The sequence below is a fragment of the Homo sapiens genome, chromosome 1 (genome assembly GCF_000001405.40).
Source record: "Homo sapiens chromosome 1, GRCh38.p14 Primary Assembly".
Lineage (NCBI taxonomy): Eukaryota > Metazoa > Chordata > Mammalia > Primates > Hominidae > Homo > Homo sapiens.
Window position 1 is genome coordinate 243,315,674 of NC_000001.11, and position 24,693 is coordinate 243,340,366.

General features: G+C 39.5%; 1 protein-coding gene across 6 annotated transcripts in view, besides 1 other annotated feature; it reads left to right on the forward strand.

The window, feature by feature from the left end:
- SDCCAG8 (SHH signaling and ciliogenesis regulator SDCCAG8) overlaps window positions 1-24,693 on the forward strand; it is a 244,051-nt gene that overhangs the window by 59,633 nt on the left and 159,725 nt on the right. For all 6 annotated transcript variants that reach the window (NM_001350249.2, NM_001350251.2, NM_001350248.2 and 3 more), the window contains 2 exons: window positions 1,082-1,220; window positions 14,867-15,019. In NM_001350249.2, the coding sequence (NP_001337178.1) occupies window positions 1,082-1,220; window positions 14,867-15,019 (292 nt within the window). The remainder of the gene's footprint in view (window positions 1-1,081; window positions 1,221-14,866; window positions 15,020-24,693) is intronic.
- Window positions 694-988: a silencer, noted in NCBI's record as "tiled region #8354; K562 Repressive non-DNase unmatched - State 16:ElonW". NCBI's record gives its function as "represses a minimal TATA promoter and a strong SV40 promoter by Sharpr-MPRA in K562 cells {active_cell/tissue: K562}" and the evidence as "EXISTENCE:reporter gene assay evidence [ECO:0000049][PMID:27701403]".

Genomic DNA, 24,693 nt, shown 5'->3' on the forward strand with positions numbered 1-24,693 from the left:
GTAATTCAAGCAGAGTTTATAATCCTCTACACTATGACTCTTTAAAACTTGCTAATTAAAAAAAAATCATAGTTGGCCCTTTTCTCATAGTTTAGACCTTGGCAATGAAAAGGAAACTGCAAGCATTTATTTCAAATGAATTTGAAACCGTGGTTTAGTCTTCAACTCTTTAACAAAACAGGGAACACCATATGTAACAGTCCAGCATACATTTTTTGCTTTTTATGTCTTGAAAGTTTCCTGCCTCACTTTCTCTTTGTCTACTGGATATTTTTATTCAGTTGATAAATTGCAAATATCCTAGAATATTTTATATGGGACTTATTTAATCAATGAGATTGTATCCTTGCTATTTTACATGCCAGAGCATTTTGGCATTTGGTTCACTTCTACTCCCAATAAACAGCTTAGGATAGAGTACTTCTGAGAATTGCTGAAGAAGGGTGGGTCTTGGCAATGATCAAACCCAGTGGGATAAGATTGTGTTAAATTGTGAATGTTATATGCATAGCCAGGAGATTGGAGGAGTTCAACAGTACTAATCATTGAGCAACAACAAGTGTTCATAAGTAACTGAAAGAATGTAATTGAAAGAGAAGTGCAAAAAAGAGGATTGTGGAGAAAGATAAAAAGGAAAGGACATATATTTGTTCAAGTAAATGAGAGGAGAATCTGCTGCATGGACAAAGCCTCAGTCCTTCCTTAAAATGTTGACTGCTACCTTGATTTACAATTCGTACCTTCCCTACTTTGCTGCATTTTTCCTTTTCAGCACCTCCCCCCACTTTTAAAAAACTAATTTGCTCTTCTCTGGGCTTTCCCCTGCAGCCCTCTCCACAATAGATGATTGTCCCGCACAGATGCCGTCCTGCCACGAAGGCTCTTAGCCTTTCTGGCTGCTCCGCCCGCCGCTCGCCAAGTGAGGACAGAGGGTCTTTCTCTGGGGTGTGCTTTATTTCATATGTGCTCAGCCGGCCTACCCTGGCTCTTCTAATACATATTAATGCTTTTCTCTCCCTGACTTATGAGGACAGGATCGTTTGATCATTTCTTGTTTTGAATGTTCTTTTTGTGCTGACAGAGAAAGAGATGACTTGATGTCTGCACTAGTTTCCGTAAGGAGCAGCTTGGCAGATACGCAGCAAAGAGAAGCAAGTGCTTATGAACAGGTGAAACAAGTTTTGCAAATATCTGAGGAAGCCAATTTTGAAAAAACCAAGGCAAGTCTAATAAGATGCAAATAAAAGTGTCTTTCTTTTTTTTTTCTTTTTTCTTCTGAGTATTTATTTGGTTATTCTTCTATAACTAAACTTTGTTTTTCAAACACACAAAGTGAATTATCAATCTGTTAATGTTGACTTTTCTGAATTAAACAAATTTGCTATTTGGAGAATTCTTACTGCTCTGCAAATACTGTTGTTGTATCACTGTTCAGAGAATGTAGTACAGTATAATACTTTGAGAGACCTATATGCTTAATCTTTTTATTTGCTGATAATTTGCAATGCTGCAAAAATCTTAACACCCAGGCATTAGTTTGTATGTGTTCGTATATGACTAAAGACAAATGTTTTTCCTCAATAATTGGGAAGTTTTGAGAAAATCCAAATATACCAAAGACAATAATATATACATATTTAGTAGCATTTTTTTTTTTTTTTTTTTGAGACAGAGTCTTGCCCTGTCGCCCAGGCTGGAGTGCAATGGCACGATTTCGGCTCACAGCAACCTCTTCCTCCTGGGTTCAAGTGATTCTCCTGCCTCAGCCTCCCAAGTAGCTGGGATTACAGACACGGGCCATCATGCCCAGCTAATTTTTGTATTTTTAGCAGAGATGGTGTTTCACCATGTTAGCCAGGCTGGTCTGGAACTCATGACCTCAGGTGATCTGCCCATCTCGTCCTCCCAAAGTGCTGAGATTACAGGCGTGAGCCACTGCGCCCGGTCTTAGTAGCATCTTTGAGTCTGGACTTACTGTAAGGTAACTCAAACATACTTAATGAGAATAACAGTTTATACTTAGTGATCGGACGGTGTTATAGGCACTTTGAAGAATAGGAGGTTACTGTTGATTCATTACTGTATTTGGGGGCCACACCGTAATCCGTTAAAGTTGCATGTATTTTCCCTAGACACACTAGCATACAATTCAAGTTCTTAATGGCCACGTGTAGCAAATATTGGACAGTGCAGATATAGAGCATTTTCATTATCATGAAAAGTTTTGTTGGATAGCACTGGTCTAAACCATATATGAATCTCAGTGTTTTATTAAAATATTAGGGCTACATTACTGAGTATATGCCCAGAGGAATATAAATCATTCTGCTGCAAAGACACATGCATGTGAATTGTCATTGCAGCACCCTTCACAATAGCAAACGTAAACGATGGAATTGATGGAATCAACCGAAATTGACGGAATCAATCTAAATGTTCATCACTGACAGATTGTATAAAGAAAATGTGGAACATGGACACCATGGAATAGTATGCAGCCATAAAAAGAATGAGATCCGATCTTTTGCAGGAACATGCATGGAGCCGGAGACAGTTATCCTTAGCAAACTAACGCAGGAACAGAAAGCCAAATACTGCATATTCTTACGTATAAGTGGGAGCTAAATGATAAGAACTTATGAGCACAAAGTAGGAAACCACAGACAGTGGCATCTCCTTGAGGATATAGGGTGGGAGCAGGGAGAGGAGCAGAAGAGATCACTATTGGGTACTGGGCTTAATACCTGGGTGATAAAATAATCTGTATAACAAAACCCCGTGACATGAGTTTGCCTATGTAACAAACCTTCACATGTACCCCCGAACCTAAAATAAAAGTTAAAAAAAAATTAGGGCTATTCAATTCTGCATTAAGCCTCTTGTCAGCCATTGCTATGTCCATTTGTCTTTATCCAGTTCATCCATAACTCTTCCCGTTTGACCCTCATGCCTTTTGAAACTTAGGTTCAGTTATGACCAAACTCCCCAACATACTGTTTCCTCAGACTCTCCTGTTTCTTCATTTGTTGTGAGCTCTAGCTGTCCCTCAATGCCATGTTTCAAAACCTTCAGTGAAGGCCCTTGTGTCAGTCAAGTCGTCTCAGGTGGGTGTGATGGAGGAAACCGCAGTTACTTCACTCCTGACTGCCATTTCCAGGGCTTTGTTTTGGCACTTACTCTCAGGTCCTATTCCTCTTTGAAATTAAGCTACCGCTCTGTGTTAATCTGTTTTGCATTGCTATAAAGAAAGAGCAGAGATTGGTAATTTATAAAGAGAAGTAAGTGGTTTATTTTGGCTCATGTTGTGCAGGCTGCATACGAAGCATGGTGCCAACATATGCTTCTGGTAAGGCCTCAGGAAGATTTCACTCTGACAGCAGGCAGAGGGGAGCAAGCCTCACAAGGGAGCAGGACTGAGCGAGGAGGAGAGGGGCCAGGCCCTTTCTAACAATCAGACCTCAGGATAACTAATAGGGCACCAAGCCATTCATGAGGGATCCACCCCCATGACCCAAACACCTCCCACCAGGCCCCACCTCCAACACTGGAAGTCACATTTCAACATGAGAGATTTGGAGAGGACAGGTATCCAAACCATATCACACTCCTCTTTGAAATCAGTGTTGTCTCTCTCCTCCCTAATCAATAAAATCTCTCAATTGAGAAGGCTCTCTTTGACCCTTTCTATTTTATTTTTATTTTTATTATCATTTTTTTGAGACAGAGTTTCATTCTTGTTGCCCAGGCTGGAGTGCAATGGCGCAATCTCAGCTCACTGTAACCTCAGCTTCCTGGAATCAAGTGATTCTCCCACCTCAGCCTCCCAAGTAGCTGGGATTACAGGCATGCGCCACCATGCCTGGCTAATTTTGTTTTTTTAGTAGAGACAGGGTTTCACAATGTTGGCCAGGCTGGTCTCAAACTCCTGAGCTCAGGTGATGCACCCATCTTGGCCTCCCAAAGTGCTGGGATTACAGGCGTGAGCCACCGCGCCTGGCCCCTTTTTAAAAGTTTTAACATCTGATCCTTTTCCTCTTCATTCTATCTCTTTCATCATCCTTAAATGTTTGAATTTCCATGTTGCTGATACACAAAACACTAATACTCTTCAGCTTCCTTAACTCTACTATATCCCCTACTTCTACGCTAACATCCTGCATGAACTGAAATGCCCCTAAGATCTCTCTGAAACCACACTCTCTGACTAGGGCCTTTGCTCTTCTTTCCTCCCTATCAAAGTTAAATCTACTCCATGTCTTCATTTTCACCTCTAGTTCTTCAGCATTCTTTCTTTTTATCTCTCATTTTATCTGTTGTGTCCAGGCTGGTCTTCTTTTCTTCCCATTTAAACATAAATTTTACCATCTCAAATTGAACTCACACATTCACTCTCCCAAATCTGCTGCCCCTTCTGTATTCTCTTACTGGATGGCACTTTTACTCACTAACATGCTCTGATCAGAAAACTGGATTTCACCCTGTCCTTCACCCCTAACTTTTAACCAGTCACTAAGTACAGATCTGAGTTTCTAACGTTTTCTTGAATTCTTTCCCTCATTAACACTTTTCTTATGGAAGCTAAGTAATCTCTGGATTTATCTATTACACTTCTTCCTAGCTTGCCTCCCTCCTTCGTTCCACTCCCTACACTGCAGCCAGAAGCGATCTTTCTTAAAGACACATTTGATCATGTGACTCTGATTTAAAATTCTTCGGTGAATTTTCACTGCCTTCAAGACAGTCTCCACATTCTTTCCCATGCCCGTGGTCTGTCCTAATGTGGCTCCCTTTTGCCCTCCAAGGCTGCTGCTTTTTTCCTCCTCTCGCGCCCTGTCTCCCAGTACACTCAGCTATCGTCAAAGGCAGGAGGGCTTAGGGGGTGAACATGGGCTTACTAGAGTTAGCCAGACTTAGATTCAACTTCTGGCCCCACCATTCACTGGCTGTGTGACCTTGGACGAGTTACTTTAACTTCTCTGTGCCCCAGTTTTTCCTCATCTGTAAAATGGAGAAATATGTGACTCCTAGGATTGTGAATGAGGACTGCATTTTAAAATGTATATTGGTTATCTTATACAAACCCAGGCAGGCACAAAATATTTCTCAATAAATAGCGGTGGTGGTGATAACCCTGCTGATTATCCCATCCTCTCTCCAGCCTCTGAGTCTTTGTATGTGCCATGTGCATTCTTCTCTGCTCCACTGCCTGTATATTACTTTAGCCTTACTTATCTTAGCCTACATGGTACTCCCTCTAGGAAACCTCTTATCTCTTCTGTCTAGATTCGATGTACCCTTTATATGCCTTTATAGCAGGGTTTTTCAACCTTGGTGCTATTGACATTTTGGGCTATGTAACTCTTTGCTTTGGATGCTGTTCTGCACATTGTAGGATGTTTAGAAGCCTCTACCTACTCAATGCTAGTAGCTTACCCTCCTCCCCCAAGTTGTGACAACTGAAGATGTCTCCATACATTGCCAAATGTCCTCTGGTGGGCACATTTACCTCCATTTGAGAACCACTACTTATATAGCATTTATCAAAATGTATTATTATTGCTTGTTTGTCTGTATCCTTCATTAAACTTTTAAAAAAATATTTCAGCTTTTAGTTTTGAAAGAGGGGTACATGTGTAGGATTGTTACATATGGTGGACCCAGGTATTGAGCATAGTGCCCCATAGGTACTTTTCCAGCCCATGCCCCCCTCTCTCCTCCCCCAAGTTGTCTGCAGTGTCTGTTGCTGCCACGCTTATGTCCATGTGTACACAATGTTTAGCTCCCATTTATAAATGAGAGCATATGGTGTTTGGTTTCCTGTTACTGCATTACTTTGCTTAGGATTATGTCTTCCAGCTACATCTATGTTGCTGCAAAGCACATGATTTCATTCTTTTTTATGGATGTATACATTCCCTGGTGTATATGTACCACATTTTCTTTATCCAATCTGCCATTTATGGGCACCTAAGTTGATTCCATGTCTTTTTTTTTGAGATAGAATCTTGTTCTGTTGCCCAAGCTGGAGTGCAGTGGTGTGATCTTGGTTCACTGTAACCTCCGCCTCCAGATTCAAGTGATTCTTCTGTCTCAGCCTCCCGAGTAGCTGGGATTACAGGTGTGCACCATCACGCCTGGCTAATTTTTGTGTTTTTAGTAAAGACAGCGTTTTGCCATGTTGGCCAGGCTGGTATTGAACTCCTGACCTCAAGTGATCCACCCGCCTCCGCCTCCCAAAGTGCCGGGATTACTGGCGTGAGCCACCATGCCCGGCCTCTATGTCTTTGCTATTGTGAATAATGCAGTGATGAACATTTGAGTTGATGTATCTTTTTGGTATAATGATATATATCCCTTGGGGTATATACCCAGGAATGGGATTGCTGTGTTGAATGGTAGCTCTATATTAAGTTCTTTGAGAAATCTCTGTTAAACTTTAAAATTGTCACCAAGCCAAGGGCTTGCTTCCCTATGCACATAGAAGCCAATGCTACGGCACTGGCTTTTAAGAAAAGAAAAGGCTTTATTGCAAGTTGACTGGCAAGGAGGCAAGAGGCCACACTCAAATCTGTCTCCTCGTTCTGCGGCAAGATCAGGAAGATTGGTTTCAGAGGTGTTTCTAAGTAGCCCCAGGTGATACCAGTGCAGCCAGTCTGCCAGGGTGGTGGTAATCACAATGAGGAGGTTAAACCTCTCATGTACCCCAGAAATATATGCATCTACTATGTACTCAACAAAAATTAAAAATAAAGTAAAAACAATTAGGAGGTTAAAGCTTTTTCCCATTGCACATGCCTGGACTACATGACTTGCAATTTTGGCTCAGTGCTATCTGTAACAACTTAAACAATGGTTAATCAGTCTGCACTAGTCCCTTGGTTACAAAATCTCTGGTGTTACGGAATTTCTCCACCCTGATCACTGTTAAATCCGTAGCATCTTGCGTAGATCTCAACACATAATAAATAGGTACTCAGTAAATATCCACTGAGGAAGGAAATTGCAACTCAGTTCTCACTAGCACTCTACAGTGCCTTTATTCTTATCTTTCCAGCTTACCTACTTTGCCAGCAAAAGTACCCAGTGAAAATTAGGCCCAATCACACTTTTTTTTTTTTTTAATAGCTAGTTCAAGCCTCCCAAGCATTGCTAAAGGAAGTCATTTAACAAAGCCACTTAATAGCCGGGCGCAGTGGCTCACGCCTGTAATCTCAGCACTTTGGGAGGCTGAGGCAGGCAGATCACGAGGTCAAGAGATTGAGACCATCCTGGCCAATGTGGTGAGACCCCGTCTCTACTAAAAATACAAAAATTAACTGGGCATGGTGGTGTGCGCCTGTAGTCCCAGCTACTCGGGAGGCTGAGGCAGGAGAATTGCTTGAACCCGGGAGGCAGAGGTTGCAGTGAGCTGAGATCACGCCACTGCACTCCAGCCTGGCAGCAGAGTGAGACTCCATCTTAAAAAAAAAAAAAAGCCACTTAATGAGTTCCACTGAAGAGTAATACTAGTCACCTTCAGTGGTTGTAGGTACTGTTGAACAATTCTTTTCTCTGCAGTTGAAGACCTTATATACTCTAGTCAGGAACTCCACTTTCCTCACTTTTCCAACTCCACTGCTGGCACGTCACTTTCTTCGGATGACCTACTTCTCACTTTACTAAGATTAGGACCAACTGACAAGAGCCTCCTCAGCATCTTCTCATCCCTCGAATGTCTCCTCTCCTTATTTCTCCTTTCTTTTCTGGCCCTCTTATTTCCCAAGATGAACATCTTTCTCCCCGTTTTTGATGTCTCCCACTTCTATGTCATCACATTTTTCTTGCATCCTTTATCCTTTTCTCTCCACTGTTTTTCCCCCTCATCCTGCCCACAGCCTTTGTTTAAGTAAACAAAAAGCAGCTTTCCTGTGATCATCTTTCACTTCGTTTATTACCGTCCATTCCTCATTTCACTGGCAGACATCTCACAACAGTTGTCCACCCTGGTAGCTTTCCTTTCACTTCTGAGTGCATCGCAGCCAGGCTTTGAACAAACTGTAGCCTGATTTTATGTTACTGAAGTGCTCGCTTCATGATCACTGGTCACTTCCTGATTACCAAACCCAGTGACCTCATCTCAATCCTCATTGGACTTAAACTCTATAGATTTGGAACCCTGTTAACTGGCCTATCATAACATACCATCTCTTTCCCTTGATTTAGCTGATATGTTACTCTCATGGGTCCACATTGTACCATTCTTGTCTACTCTTAAGTCTCTTTTAACTTGTTTCTTGGTTTCCACAAGTCTTAAGTGTGGACGTTCCTCAGAGTTAGTTCCCAGCCCTCCTCCCATGTTGCCTTGACTTCCTGGGATTCATTTCTCCTCACGTGGCCAAATATTACCAGTGAATACACCCACATTATGCCTTTAGCTTTAACTGCTCTCCTGAGCCCCAGCCCTACGTGTTTTGCTGCTACTAGATCTTTTTTTATGGATGATACACTGCTGGCGTCTGAAACTCTACACAACCAAACCGTTCATTGGCTCCGCCTTCCCATCTACCACTCCTTTTCTTTCTACCATTTTCTCTATGATCGTCTTCAAACAAAGGCATCACCATCTTCACCGCAGTCCTGGCTTGCATTCTTTAAAACATCTCGGTTCTTCCCTATGCTTGCTCTTGACATTCCATCAGTTCCCAAGGTCTTTCTCTCTCTCTTCAGAGTCAAATTTCTATTTAACTATGCCTACCTTTTCATTCTTATACCACTGCCCTGGTTCAAGGCTTCACATCTTCACATGCTTTTTTTTTTTTTTTTTTTTTCAGAGACAGGGCCTCACTCTGTCACCCAGGCTCAGTGGTGCGGTCATATCTCACTACAGCCTTGCACTCCTGAGCTCAGCTGATTCTCCCTCCTTAGCCCCGCAAAGTGCTGGGATTACAGGTGTGAGCCACCGTGTCCAGTGGTATACTTCACGTATTCTTATACCAAGTATGCAGACAATTACAATAGCTTTCTAATTGGTTTCCCTCAAATTTCATCTAATTCCAGCATACTTTTCACAGTGCTCTCATAACATTTATAGTTCCTGAGTTATAAATCTCCCTGTTTAGGTAGCTCCCCTCTTGCAGTAGAATAAAAGACAAATCTGGCCCCATTCTAACTTTGCTAGTCTTCTCTTTCACTCTACTCTTTCATGTCACCTTCACTGTTTCCAGAACATGACCTGCAGTTGGCCATTTTCATTGATTTGCACATGCTGTATTTTTCTGCCTTGTAATAATCTATGAAGTATCTGTTCAATCTATGAGGCTCAACTCAAGTGGCAGTCTTCCTGAAGTTTTCCCCAGCCCCTTCTTGTTTGAATTAACTTCTTTTTCCTCTGTATTCCTGTTGATGTGGTGTATAATTTTGGTAGTTGTTTACACAGTTTTCTCCACCAGAAGACCTTGAAATCAGGTCTGTGACATCTATCATTGTATTTCACACATGACCATTTACGTCTTAATTAACAATAAATGTTTGTTCAGTGGAAGTCAATTATTATTAATGTGAAATTTGTAATTAATTTTTTAAAAAATTTAATAACTGAGAGCAAGCAACACTATTGTTCATTAGGAATCTATAGCATTTTCAGTAAATTAGTAATAATGAATGCAAGGACAAAATGTATTGCAAGTCTAGTACTTTTTATCTAGAAGGTATGTTGAAACACACTAGAATTTTTGCTTTCTAAGTGCATTAAAAAGCCAGGTGGTATACATATTTTAATTTAAAACCCAACTACTTATATTACTGAGTGATGAAATGGTTACTTGGTTTAGTTCCTTGACGTTTGTTGCCATCTAGTGTGGCATTTGGGTATCACATGCTAAATAGAAGGAATTATATATTTACATTCTTTGTGGCAGTGAAAATGCCTGAGGATTTTATAAGAAAATAAATATATAACTTGAGAAGTATATAATGCCATGCAAACATTCTTGTGTGGAACTACCTTGGATAAACTCCCTACTCTCACCACTTTCTAGGTCTCTGATTTGGGCAAGTTACTGAATGTCTCAAAGTACCAGTTTCTTCAATTGAGTGATAAGAACCAATTAAAATGTATTGAGAGGGTTAAATAATCCATGTATACCACTTAGCAAAGTATCTGGCACCTAGTAGGTGCTCAATAAATATTTTTGTTTGAAAATGGAAGTTATTTCAATTGGTGATAATTTTAAAAGAGGAAAAGAATTCACCTGGGACTAAATGGAGAGAAAAAGTAGAGGCTTGTGCAGTCACACCTTGATAAAAAGCTACACGAAGCAGATGAAAAGGTTAACCAGGCCTTAGGCCTGCCTGCTTGTGTTGGAAGGGAAATTGTTGAGAGGTATGTGTAAAGGCCTGAAGGCACAGGCTGTGGCATGAAGTTACCATAAGCATATCTGTAATGATATAACCCTCTAAGGAAAAAAAAAATTTTCTTTTTTACTCATAACAACTTGAACAAAGTATGTATTTCCAATTTGCTAAGACCTATCCTGCCATATATCTTTGTGGGTAAGTGGTGTGAACTTTTTAAAAAAGTTAATTATTATGTATACATAATAATTGTACATATTTATGGGTTACATGTGATATTCTGAAGATTAGTTTTTAAAACAGCAGCCTGGTAGGTTGAACAAATATTTACAAAGACTTTTTCTCCCTTTTCAAATATCCAAATTATTCTGTTTCTTGGATTACAGGGAGTCAGAAAGGCAGGAATTAGAAACCTGGATTAAAAATAAAATCAGAAAAGCATTGACTATTTGGTTATAGTCACAAGGATAGAAAATAACGCTTCTTGATTTGCACATTATCTGTCCCAAAAGAAGTGTAAATATCTTGAAAAATGGTACATAGGGATAGACTGATAAATTTCTGGTTAGCAAGGGTTTATAAATTAAAATCAATAGTTTGCATTATTCATAAGTTAGATGTTTGAAATGTGTTAATCTTTTTAATTTTGTGGGCTTTATTCATAAAAATAAAAATGTTTGTAAGCTTTAAAGTTTATGTTCAAAGGTGTGAGCTGTATATTTTTCATAAGATCTTAATTCCTTAGTTATGAATTATTCTGTCACAAAGATTTCTTGAAAACTAACCCTAGCAGTTGGGAAGGACTTTTATATGATCTACAATAGGTTTCCTGTTTTAAAATTTTAGTTGACTAGATATAAATTTTGTTTTCGAAAATATTTTGACTGCCTAAGATAGTAGTGCCTACCCTTTGGCTTAATAAAACCAGGACTGGGAATATCAAGTCCAATAAACTGTGTTTGAAAAAAAGTGTTAATATGTCAACACAGAATGACCACAGCTAAAGAAATTTCCCAGAAAAGAAAAGGTACCTTCAGGAATGAGTCTGCTGGGTGGGGGGAATGTATAATTCCCCAACTTCTCAAGACCTACAGCCATTTCCACCAAGGAAAGGGCCGTGTTCAGGGAAAGGGAGAGAAGCCAGGACTTGGGAACTACTGAGAGAAATAACAGCCGCAGGCCCCAAATTAACTTTGTCACCTATAAAGATCTATCATTTAATGGTAATTGCCTGTTTATAGCATTCAGTTACTATAAAATTATAATTTATAATTTTATAGAAATTAAAATTATAATTTATAATTTTATAGAAATTAAAATTATAATTATAATTTTATAGAAATTAAAATTATAATTATAATTTTATAGAAATTAAAATTATAATTTATAATTTTATAGAAATTTATAATTTTATAGAAGTTAAAATTATAATTTATAATTTTGTAGAAATTAAAATTATAATTATAATTTTGTAGAAATTAAAATTATAATTTATAATTTTGTAGAAATTAAAATTATAATTTATAATTTTGTAGAAATTAAAATTATAATCATTTGATGATAGTTGATTGTTTACTGACCTAGCCTTTGAGAAGTCAGTTATTATGTCTTTACTGAATGGTTATAGGGGTACTCAATCGACAGGGATTCTGAAACTAGGAGAAGAAACTCTAGAATTAAGAGAGAGCTTTAATGGAGATAGTGTATAAATAATTGTTTACTAGACCCAAATCTTTTAGTATGTGCGGTCCAGTGTGAGAGAGTTATCTTTAGAAAGAATAAATCATTTTTCTGATTCCAAGTGTTACTACGCTTTTCTGTTTTCTTCACTGTGACCGGACATATACGTTAAAATCAAAGCAAATAAAAGTAAAAGCTATTTTTGTTTGTTTGTTTGTTTTGTTTGTTTGTTTTTGAGATGGAGTCTCGCTCTGTCGCCCAGGCTGTAGTGCAGTGGTGCGATCTCAGCTCACTGCAAGCTCCGCCTCCCGGGTTCACGCCATTCTCCTGCCTCAGCCTCCTGAGTAGCTGGGACTACAGGTGCCCGCCGCCACACCCGGCTAATTTTTTGTGTTTTTAGTAGAGACAGAGTTTCACCGTGTTAGCCAGGATGGTCTCGATCTCCTGACCTCGTGATCCGCCTGCCTCAGCCTCCCAAAGTGCTGGGATTAAAGACATGAGCCACTGTGCCCGGCCTTAGAAGCTATTTGATAATATGGAATTGTTGGTTACACGCTAAGAGACATCAGTAACCAGTTTTTTGTTTGTTTGTTTGTTTTGTGTGTTTTTTGGGGACGGAGTCACACTCTGTTGCCCAGGCTGGAGTGCAGTGGCACCATCTTGGCTCACTGCAACCTCCGCCTCCTGGGTTTAAGCGATTCTCCTGCCTCAGCCTCCCTAGTAGCTGGGATTACAGGCACGCACCACCTGGCTCAGCTAATTTTCATATTTTAGTAGGACGGGGTTTCACCATGTTGGCCTGGCTGGTCTCAACCTCCTGACCTCAAGCAATCCACCCGCCTCAGCCTTCCAAAGTGCTGGGATTACAGGCGTGAGCCACCACGCCCAGCCAATAACCAGTTTTTAACCTAATATTTTTATTCAGTGTTTTGTTGCCCATTACTCATCATCAGCCATTGGTGGTGGCCATTCCTAATAGAGAGAAGACCATCCACAAAACCAAGGCCTCAGCAGTGGTTTTGTTTACATGATTTTACAGCTTCTCACTTTGTGCTTTTCACTGTATCATCCTATCTTGGCATTACACCTCTTATCCTGCCAGGATTATTTACTGTTGCTTGTTCTTTAGTTGACTGAGTTCTTTGAATTGATTCTGTAGGTGCCTTTCATGGTAGCCTGGTTTTAGATCTTCAGTCTCTTCTGCTGTTCCTATACTTAATGATGATGACTCCTGAGTTTTTGTTCAGTTGAAAACTTTCTGATTGGATATATTGGTTTATATTAAGTAAGCGTTTTGTCTATTCATACCAGTAGCATTCATGATATCAGGGAGAGTTATGAACATTTACTCAATTCATGTGAAATATTTTTCACAAGAGCAATTACATTTTGAATCACAAAAGTAACTCATTCATATTTCAAGCTCCAAGGGCTTAAATTATAGAAAAAGTATGCCTTTTCATTTATTTTAATATCTAATTTAAAATTTCCTTTTCCAGGCATTCTCGGCTGGAATTTTGACTTGGGACTAATTCCCTAGAAGAATCACTTTTTACTCATTGTATTTGTTTATTAGTTAATCTGAGACAACTGAATTTTACCTTTATATTTTATGCCTGGGAGCATAGAAACTTTTCAGAAGAGACCAAAAGAAACTGGAGTTTAATGCTTTCCAGATGAAGAGAGGAAAATTCACATATCCTAGATATTTATTGTCTGTATTTATTATAGCTTTCACCAGAGGGAAGCATAACTATGCATAAAACTTACAGTGCTTACTAAGGCCATTTCCATCTCCATTAAAATCAAATGTGACTATGAAATTTCTAATCATACAGCATGTAAGTCACATGAGACCTGGGGTTCTTTCTACCATTTCAGGGGAAAAGAGAGGTTGTGTGAGGTGGATATTGTACATAAGGGCCACTGGAATAAGACTATAAGATACTATAGTACCTTACTTTTATTAGGATTTTTAAAAATTGGGATTTTACTATGCAATCTGTGTATGTAACTAAATTACATTTGTACCCCATATATTTATACAAAAAAAGACCTCCCCAAATTGGGATTTTTGAAGTCATATTTCATTATTGGGTGTTATAAATAAAGATATTGTAAAAGTGGCCAAAATGAAGTTAGAGATTTTTTATTTCTGGAAATGCAGAGTGGGAAATTTACAGTAAAGGACAATCATGAACTTTACCAGAAGTGGAAGATCCTTATAAAACTAAGTAGTGAATACTGTCTTGAGTCTTTCCATTTAACTTACGATTATTACATAATTTTTACTTCAGTTGTATGTTTAAGGGGAGTGAACTAAATTTTCTCTTAGTTATATTTAAGGAAACTTGATTATTATATAGTATTAAACAAAAGATGCCTGTGTGTAATGATATATTCAACATTTCATTTTAGTATTTTGATCTATCATTTGAAGTATTCCAATAATTTTTATCCATGAGCAAATAAGAAATCAGTTAAATTGGATACTTACGTATTTCGTGTAGTATAAACATGATATATAATTGAAAATATTAGAACACTTGGTGTTTCTGGTTCCCTTTTTTAAAATTCTGACTCATCTGTGGCCGTCATCAAGGTTCATTACCTGAATTTTGTCATTGATTAATTAATATGGCTTTAATCATGAAAATTGAAATATGTCAATAAATGTAACATTTGGATACTCTTTTAGGTCAATAAGTGGTATTGATAAACAATAAAAAATTATTCTAATGGGCTTTATAGTGAGTTTTTGCTATTTTAAATATACTTAAAGCTTAATTATGTCATTTTACCTATATTTTTTCCAAATTCTAACCTCCTCTTTCAATCTGTTCTATCCTGGCAGGCTTTAATCCAGTGTGACCAGTTGAGGAAGGAGCTGGAGAGGCAGGCGGAGCGACTTGAAAAAGAACTTGCATCTCAGCAAGAGAAAAGGGCCATTGAGAAAGACATGATGAAAAAGGAAATAACGAAAGAAAGGGAGTACATGGGATCAAAGGTACTTAAGGACTCTGCTGTTATCCACATTGCAGAAGAAAGGTTTTTTATGATGCCATTGATGATTCCATAGGCTGGAGTTCTTGAATGAACTTTAAATTTTAAAATCGTTATTATATAAGTAGTTAAATTTCGTATAATTTAGAATTCATAAAAATGTTTTATCTTTTCATATATTTCTCAATAGTTTATGCTGATCTTTTCAAATAAAATAATCAGTTAGATTCCATACAATGAAATTACAAAATTTACTTTAAATCCTGCCATTCTGTTGGATTCCCTCTCTCGTGTTTCCCAGAGTCGTGCTATGAAGATACCCAGATTTTATTTCAACCTTGGCTAAATCAAGGAGAGATGACTTCCCCTGCATTATCTCCTACCCCTAAATTAAATATGCAGAAGATGAAACACTTGTAAGGAACTGAGTAACCAAGAAAAAGTGATTATGCACTCTGTATGAAATCAGTTCTGACAAATTACATGATGAATAATGACGGTAACCAGATGAAGGGAGAGATTTAAGGCAAAAGGAACAGATAACATGAAACAAGCAGTGTTTGAAAAGGAGTTCACAAACTAGAATACAGAGTTGAGTGGGACCTAGCTTTAAAATTGCTAACTAGACTCGAATTGAGCAAGTTGTGGTCCATCAAGTAACCAAAACAACTGTGTTACATGTTTGTTTTTAAAAGTGGACTCACAGCTTGTACTCTAAATGCTATGTTGTTATCAGATTCAATGTGTGATAATTAACTTATTCAGTAAGTATATACTGAGTATGTGCTGTGTGCAAAGCAATGTGGAGGCCTAAAGATATGTAAAGAGAAAAATCACAACTTCTGCCCTATGAGTTTTAAGTCTTAATAAGAGTAAACTCAGGCATTTCCTGTAAATGTCCTTGTCTTCTTATCCATTTTTAAAAATTGTGTCTGTCAAAACCCTACTACCTACCTTCTCTGCCCTGGATTGGTGATCTCTGCTGGTAAAAATCACACAGCCTTGCAGATGACATGGCTGTAGACTCCAGGTCTTCGGTGTCCACGGTCCTTTCAGTGCTTTCTAGCAGTCCTCTTTTGCCTTCCTCTCTCTTATTCATTCCACACTCAACAGATATTAACCAGAGGGGCTGGGAATGTTGTAGTCACAGGAACGATGCAGTTTCCTCATGAAGCTTACAAACTCGTAGGAGAAGTAGATGTTACACAAATGTTTTCATAAGTGAGTTTTCGATCATCATTGTGATAAAGCCATAAGGTTCGGTTTAGGATATCGTGGGAATGTGTAACAGGAATCTGACCTTGTCTAGGCAGTCACGAAAGACTTTCCTGAGTAAGAGATGTTGAAAATGAGACCTGAAAGCATTGATGAATGGACAGGTGAAGAGGGGAAGAGGGTTTCAGGCCCAGGAATATAACACACCCAAGACTCTGGACCTGGAAAGCATCGCACTTTCTAGGAATTTGGAGAAGGCCCTGATGGGTGGAGCATAGAGAGAGAGGAGCAGAGTAGTGGGAATGAGTTTGGAGAATTATGTTGGGATGGAATCATGAATGGCTTTAAAATCCATATGAAGGATTTTCAATTTTGTCCAAAAAGGGATGGAAAGCCATTGAATGGCTTTGAATTTGTCAGTGTCACGATGCCATTTATATTTGAGAAAAATCATTTTGTCAGTGGATTGGAAGGAGAAGCAGAATAGATGCCTGGAGATCAGCTGGAGGTCATTATCGTAGTCCAGGTCTGGAGGTGACTCACAGTCCAGGTCTGGAGGTGATTATCATAATCCCCCTCTGGAGGTGATTATCATAATCCAGCTCTGGAGGTGATTTTCGCAGTCCAGGTCTGGAGGTGATTATCACGGTCCCGGTCTGGAGGTGATTATTGCTGTCCAGGTCTGCAGGTGATTATTGCGGTCTCAGTCTGGAGGTGATTATCACAGACCCGGTCTGGAGGTGATTATCGCGGTCCCGGTCTGGAGGTGATTATCGCAGTCCAGGTCTGGAGGTGATTTTCGCGGTCCAGGTCTGGAGGTGATTTTCGCGGTCCAGGTCTGGAGGTGATTATTGTGGTCCGGGTCTGGAGGTGATTATCGTGGTCCCGGTCTGGAGGTGGTTATCGTAGTCCAGGTCTGGAGGTGATTATCGTGGTCCCGGTCTGGAGGTGGTTATCGTAGTCCAGGTCTGGAGGTGATTATCGTAGTCCAGGTCTGGAGGTGATTATCGTAGTCCAGGTGGGAAGTGATGGTATCTTAAATGCATTTCTTTAAAGACTGTTTCAAATCACTTGTTCTTCTCAAATTCTCTATAATACCATTTTTCCTCTTATTCTCAGCAGAGAGCCTTACTTAACTAACAAAGAAAATGGAAGCCGTTGGGTGATGACCACCTCAACTATTTCTCTTGTCCATGCCTTAAAATAAATTTTCACCTGTATTCCAACCCAGTCTGAATGGGAAAGGTGTCTTCCTAATCCCTTCCCCTTCCCATGGACCTCGTCTCCTTTCACCCCCTCAAGGAACTCATTCCATTTGTTTGTTCCACTTTTCTGAATCAATCTTTCCTTCACTACAGTCTCTTTCTTATCCTCAGGAAAATATTTTCAGATGTCTCTTACTGTTGAAAGGAACAATCTTTCTTCTAATCTGTGGTTCTTAATTTTTGGCACGCAAGAAGTTCTAAAAATCTGATTGTCCAAACAGTACCCCACACCCATTACATCAAAATGTCTGAGAGAAGCATCCAGGTGTCAGTGTGTTTGAAACTCACCTAGGTGATTCCAATGTGCAGCCAAGGTTGGAAACCACGTCAGTAATTCCATCTCCCTCTTTGACTCTTTCTCTTAATAGTCGAGTTTCTTGAAAGATTTGTCCATACATGTTGTCTTTATTTTGTCACCTCTCACTTACTCTTCAGCCCACTGCATTTCAACTTCCATGCCACAGCCAGTGAAATTACCATTGCTATGTTCACTGAAGATCTGTTTACACTATATTTACTGATTTTTTTTCAGTCTTATTCTCCTTAAAAGATTCTCTATGATTTCTTTGAATTCATATTCTTGATTTGGGAGAATGATGATGTGTGCTTTTTACATTACTCTGAGTTTAAAGTGCCTTTGAGACAATAAAGGAGACACATCCAGAAAGCAGCTTGATAGGAGGTTCTGGAGTTTAGCAGGGAGCTAAAGATTTAGGTGTCTTTAGCAGTACTATAGCTTGAATTCCATGTATATATAGCCTTAGGACCTAAAGCTTCAAGACTAAAGCTATTTGATTTCTAGATCCTTAACTGTATACTGAGCTCCCAAACCAGCTTTACTTTCCACCTCCTATCCCAGTGGATCCACTATTTATCCAGTTATCCAGCACAGAAATCTTGTCACCCTTTTCTCCCCCGTCTTTCTCACCCCACACATCTCATCATCACCAGGCTCTAAGACTTAAGCCCCTGAGCATTTACATTGCCTTGTCTCTCTATCCTACTGCTACCATATCTCATCCTTGGATGGTTCCTATAGCCCCTGTGGTGTCCTTGCCTCCAGTCTCACCTCCTTCCTATCTGTTCTCCAAACTGCAGCTGGGATGATCTTTCTCAATATGTCAGTCTCTTGCTTTAAAACTCCTTTCACGTCTCCCTGCAACCTTGAATAAAATTTAGGATCCTTTATCATAGCATGAAGACTCTACAATATTGTTCCTCTCTTTGGCTCTCCGGTCTTATGTTCCTTCATTTTTCTTCTTTGCACCCTCACCACACTGACCTACTTGTGCTTCCCCAAGCATGTACATATGCCTCTCTTCCATACTGTTTTTTCCAGTGCAGGATATTGCATGTGCTTTGCCCTCTGCCTAGAGGAGTCTTCCTCTGCCCTCTTTAACTGATTCTTCAGAGTTGTTTGTTTGTTTGTTTGTTTGTATTTGAGACAGGGTCTCACTCTGTCACCCAGGCTGGAGCTCAGTGGGGTGTTCACAGCTCACTTAGCCTCGACCACTTGAGCTCAGGTAATCCTCCCACCTCAGCTTCCCAGGTAGCTGGGACTAGAGAGGTGTGCCACCATGCCTGGCTAATTGTGTTTTTTATAGAGACAGGTTTTTGCCATGTTGCCCAGGCTGATCGCGAACTCCTGGGGTCAAGCAATGTACCCTCCTTGGCCACTCAACGTGCTAGGATTACAGGCGTGAGCCACTGCGCGTGGCCCAGAACTTTTCTTGGTACCACCTCGTCTCCGCGCCTCCCATAGCTGAATTGGGACCGTCTCCTGTGGGCTCCCATAGCTCACTTCATTACAAATTCATGTCGAATAGCTTGCCTCCCCTAGTTCAGTGAGTCCCTTGCATGTAACATCCTCAATGCCTGGCACATTCCTCTCATGTAAAATGTGCTCAGTATATATTAGATGAATGAAGGAATGAATTACAAGGAAAAGAAAAAAGTCCCTATGCCATTGGGAAGTTATGGCTAAAATGCTGAGAGTTCAGAGGATCAGAACTGATTGTCTGCAAGAGATCATGGAAGGCTTTGGGGAAAAAATGGCATTTTCGTTGAGCTTCCAAGAATAGATGGGGTTTAGAAACGCAGAGTATGGGGGAAGGAACGCCACCTGTAACCAATATGAATAAGACATGGAAGGGAGATGAAGTTGCGAATTGAGTGTTGTGTGAGAGAGAATGGTATCAATAGCAAACACCAGCTATTGTTCACGCCTAGGAAATTTGTATTTTTTGGTTGTTTGCTGGAAACCATTTGCCTTGCTGAGTAGTTCTACTGTGTAGAAGTATGTTGATGAGAATTCCTGATAAGAAAGGAAAAACGAAGGCTGAAGTGTGCCTGGCAGTATTCCAGGTGCCTTCATATGTAACAGAACCTCTCTTTTACTGACAGTTGTTTCATGAATAAAGGTGGTGACAGAAATGCAGCACATTTTTTATGTATCATTTATTTATTTATTTATTTTTAACTTTTAGATTCAAGGGAGTACATGTGCAGGTTTTTTACTTGTGTATATCGCATGATGCTGAGGTTTGGTTTACAAATTATCTTGTCACCCCCTACATAAGCATAGTACCCAATAGTTAGTTTTTCAACCCCTACCCCACTCCCTCCCTCTCCTCTCTAGTCATCCCCAGTTTCTGTTGTTGCTATCTTTATATCCGTGAGTACCTAATACTTAGCTCCCACTTGTGAGTGAGAACATGCAGTATTGGATTTTCTGTTCCTGCGTTAATTCACTTAGGACTACGGCCTCCACTTGCGTCCATGTTCCTGCCAAAGACCTGATTCCATTCTTTTTTATGGCTGCATAGTATTCAGTGGTGTATATGTACCACATTTTCTTTATCCAGTCCATTCTTGATGGGCACCTAGGTTGATTCCATGTCTTTGCTATTGTGAATGGTGCTACAATGAACATGTAAGTACATGTGTCTTTTTGGTAAGACAATTTGTTTTCTGTTGAATATATATCCAGTAATGGGATTTCTGGTAGAATGGTAGGTTCTAAGTTATTTGAGAAATTTCCAAACTGCTTTCCACTGTGGCTGAACTAATGTACATTCCACCAACAGAGCAGAAGTGTCCTTTTCTCTGCATGGTCTGTTGTTTTTTGAGTTTTGAATAACAGCCATTCTGACTGGTGTGAAATGGGATCTCATTGTGGTTTTGATTTGCATTTCTATGATGATTAGTGTTTTAGTCTGTTCTCGCACTGCTATAAAGAAATACCTGAAACTGGGTGATTTATAAAGAAAAGAGCTTTAATTGGCTCATGGTTCTGCAGGCTGAACGGGAAGAATGGCTGGGGAGGCCTCAGGAAACTTTCAGTCATGGTGGAAGGGAAGCAGGCATGTCTTCTGTGGTTGGAGCAGGAGGAAGAGAGAGCAGGGGGAAGCGCTACACACTTTTAAACAGCCAGATCTTGTAAGAACTCGCTATCATGAGAACAGCCAGGGGGAAACTGCCCCGACGATCCAATCACCTCCCACCAGGCCCCCCTCCAACATCGGGGATTACAGTGTGATGTGAGAGTTGGGCGGGGGCAGAAGTCCAAACCATATCATTCATGAGTGATCTTGAGCACTTTTTCATGTTTGTTGGCCATTTGTATGTATTCTTTTGAGAAGTGTCTGTTCATGTCTTTTGTTCATTTTTTAATGGGGTTGTTTTCTGCTTGTTCAATTGTTTACTTTCTTTATAGATTCTGGATATTAGGCCTTTGTCTGATACATAATTTGTGGGTACTTTCTCCCATTCTGTAGGTTGTCTGTTTACTCTGTTGATAGTTTCTTTTGCTGTGCAGAAGCTCTTTGGTGTAATTAGGTCCCACTTGTCAATTGGTGGGTTTTGTTGCAATTGCTTTTGAGAACTTAGTCATAAATTCTTTCCCAAGGCCCATGTAGGAAACACCCGGAATGGTGTTTCCTAGGTTTTCAGCTAGGATTTTTATAGTTTGATATCTTACATTTAAATCTTCAATTCATCTAGGGTCAATTTTTGTATATGGTAAAGGGTAAAAGCCCAGTTTCATTCTTCTGCATATGGCTAGCCAGCTATCCTAGCACCATTTATTGAATAGGGAATCCTTTCCCCATTGCACATTTTTGTCAAGTTTGTCAAAGATCAGATGGCTGTATGTGTGTGGCTTTATTTCTGGATCTCTATTCGATACAATACATATCTGAGCTAGAGTCATTGAAGTTGATTTTGTCCCTAGTAAGCCCTGGCTGACATTTGATCTCAAGATCCTGCTCTAAATAAAGATGTATGAATAAAGAGCTCACAGTGGTCCTAGCACTGAGGTCCCAGCTCTCACCAGGAAATGGCAGAAAGTGGTTTTGGAGTAAAAGGATTTAGAGTTGAATCCAGCTTGACCTTTCTGTGACCTTGAACAATTCACTTAACCTCTCTAAGTTTCAGAGGAGTAAATAAAGTTAATAATACATCAAGAATTGATAGGATTAAGTGAGATAATGTTTAGAAAATATCTAATATAATGTCTGACTTACCGTGGGCATTTAATAAATTTTAGCTTGTGGCTGTTGTTTTAGAGAAAGAGAGACGGAGCCTTCTTGGATAGATTTCTTGGCCCTTCATGTTAGTAAAAGCAGACAGACTTTTATATAAAGCCCAGCTTTACCTTTTACTTATTAGTTTGAATGAACTTGGGCAAGTTACTTAGTTTTCTGAATCTCATTTTTTCAAATGAAAATTAATTCCATATAATTCCTTCTCTAGGGGATTTAATTATTATTAGAGACAGGGTCTCACTGTGTCACATAGGCTGGAGTGCAGTGGTGTGATCATAGCTCATCGTATCCTCAAACTACTTGGCTCAAGCAATCCCCCTGCCTCAGCCTCCTAAGTAGCTAGGACTACAGGCGTGTGCCACCTTGCCTGGCTAACTAAAAAAAAAAATTGTAGAATTGGGGTCTCATTATGTTGCCCAGGCTGGTCTTGAACTCCTGGCAGTCCTCCTGCCTCAGCCTCCAAAAGCAGTAGGATTCCAAGCATGAGCCACAGTGCCCGGCCTTTCTAAGGGGATTTAAAGAGAGAATGCATATCACACTGCCTGGCCCAAGAACATAATGACTGACCAGTTAATCATAACATTGTAAGTGCTAGGCAGTTAAAGTTAGTGCTAGAACAAGAATCTCTGCTTTCCTAACTGTAGGAATACTTGTGAAACGTATAGATTTTCTTTCTTTCTATGTTTTTTTTATTCCTCCCTTACTTTTCTTTTTTTTTTTTTTAAATTCCATTTGTGTGGGAAGCTGTCGGAGAACAGATGCCTTCTACCTAGACAGGTTTGAATCATTCCCCATCAACAGTTCTTGCTGTGAGTTTGTGTGTTATCTTCAATAATGGTCCTTGGTGTTGCACTGAGCACTCAGCTTTGTTACTTCATTCAGTCATTGATCATTTATTTATTGAGCACCCCCTGAGGTCCACACGTTTTCTCAATTGCTTTCCTTGACAGTATCCATTGTTAAAATCCTTAATTCTTGTATCTCTTGCATAGGGAGTACAGCTTCATACCAGGTTCAATACACTAGGGACTGCTCTGCAGAAATTTCTATCAGCCTCTCCCAACCTGGGTGTCCTTGTCTCTTCCTTGCCCCTGTCAAAGTTTAAAGGACTCACCTGATGTCAACGTCCTGGACATCCAGCAGTGTTGCAGCTGTGTCTGTGTTACTTCTGGCTCTGCAACAGATGTGGATGGAGAAGCTCCTGCCGTGTAATGTTGACTTCCAGATGGTGGGTGGGGAGGAAAAGAAGGTGTGACAACAGGAGGGGAGACCTCAGAAAGTGGGGTGGGCGGCAGGAGGGAGCAGACAGCTAGTGGGCAGAGGACCTCAGAAAGTGGGGTGGGCGGCAGGAGGGAGCAGACAGCTAGTGGGCAGAGGACCTCAGAAAGTGGGGTGGGCGGCAGGAGGGAGCAGACAGCTAGTGGGCAGAGGAAGGGAATGATGGGTGGCAGAGGGAGGAATCCTAAGGAAGGGGAGAGATTTGTGACATGCCTTAGAAGAGAAATGGACTAGAATTTATAATTAGCAAAATAAATGTCGGTATATTTACTTCAAAAACCATACAATGTTGTTTACCATCAGTTATGTATGTCCACATAAATAAGTAAAATATGATTTTTAGTAGCTGGTAATTAAAGTTTGTTCCTGTCATATGGTTCCAGAAAAGCTATAATTACACATTCATAATATATATGCTCATGAACTCGAAATTTTAAATTGAAATGAAATTGATATTTTTGATGTTATATTTAACTTCTTTTCAACCTTAGTTTTATATTGTAATGTGCCCAAGAATATTTTTTAGTTTGTTATTAGTAAAGCTAATTGTATGTGAAAATTAGATTTGTAGACAATCCTTTGATGATAGGGATGTGTAAAAAACCATAAGTCAAATATGAAATTCTCCACTACCTTCAGAAAGTTAATTAATATATCTGCCTAAATTATTTTCATAGGGTCAACTTTAACTAGTTCTGTAGTTCGAAGGCAGACACCTATCTTCGTTTTATTGATGTCAGGTTCTTAATTTACTAAAACTTTGGTTCAATGTTGATTTTTATCATAGAATTTTAGTAATTGATTTAAGTTATAAAACTGAATTCACACCCATGTCAGCATACAATGGTAAGTTTCAAGCATCATTATTTAAAATGTGTCACCAGTTCTTGTTTTAACAGATAAAAATTGATAGGTATTCCTATATGTTCTGCTGCTTCTACATTTTAAAAACTGCCAGTACAGTATGACATTAAGAGCCTAGAAGAGTGACTTCCTGGAAAAGAACAAAACATAATTGGAAACCAGAAACTATAAAGGATAAATCTAAGATCTAGAAAGCATTTCTAATCTTGAGAAGAAAAACTGAGAACCTAATACCCATAGAGTCCATTGGAAAGCCATTTATTCTAAGTATTTACTCATTCATCAAATATTTGGTACCTCTTGAGGAACTTCTACTCTAATGAGGAAACAGACAACTAAAAACAGTGGGATGAGTACTGTGGTTGAGGTACACAGAGGTTGTGGTGTGATGGAGGTATATATACTGAGATTGTAGGAGCACATGCCATAGTGATATTCAAAATATTAATCTTTACAGTGTGGGAAACAGTGAGAGTGGACACAGGCTACAAACAACAGGCATGACTGTCTCA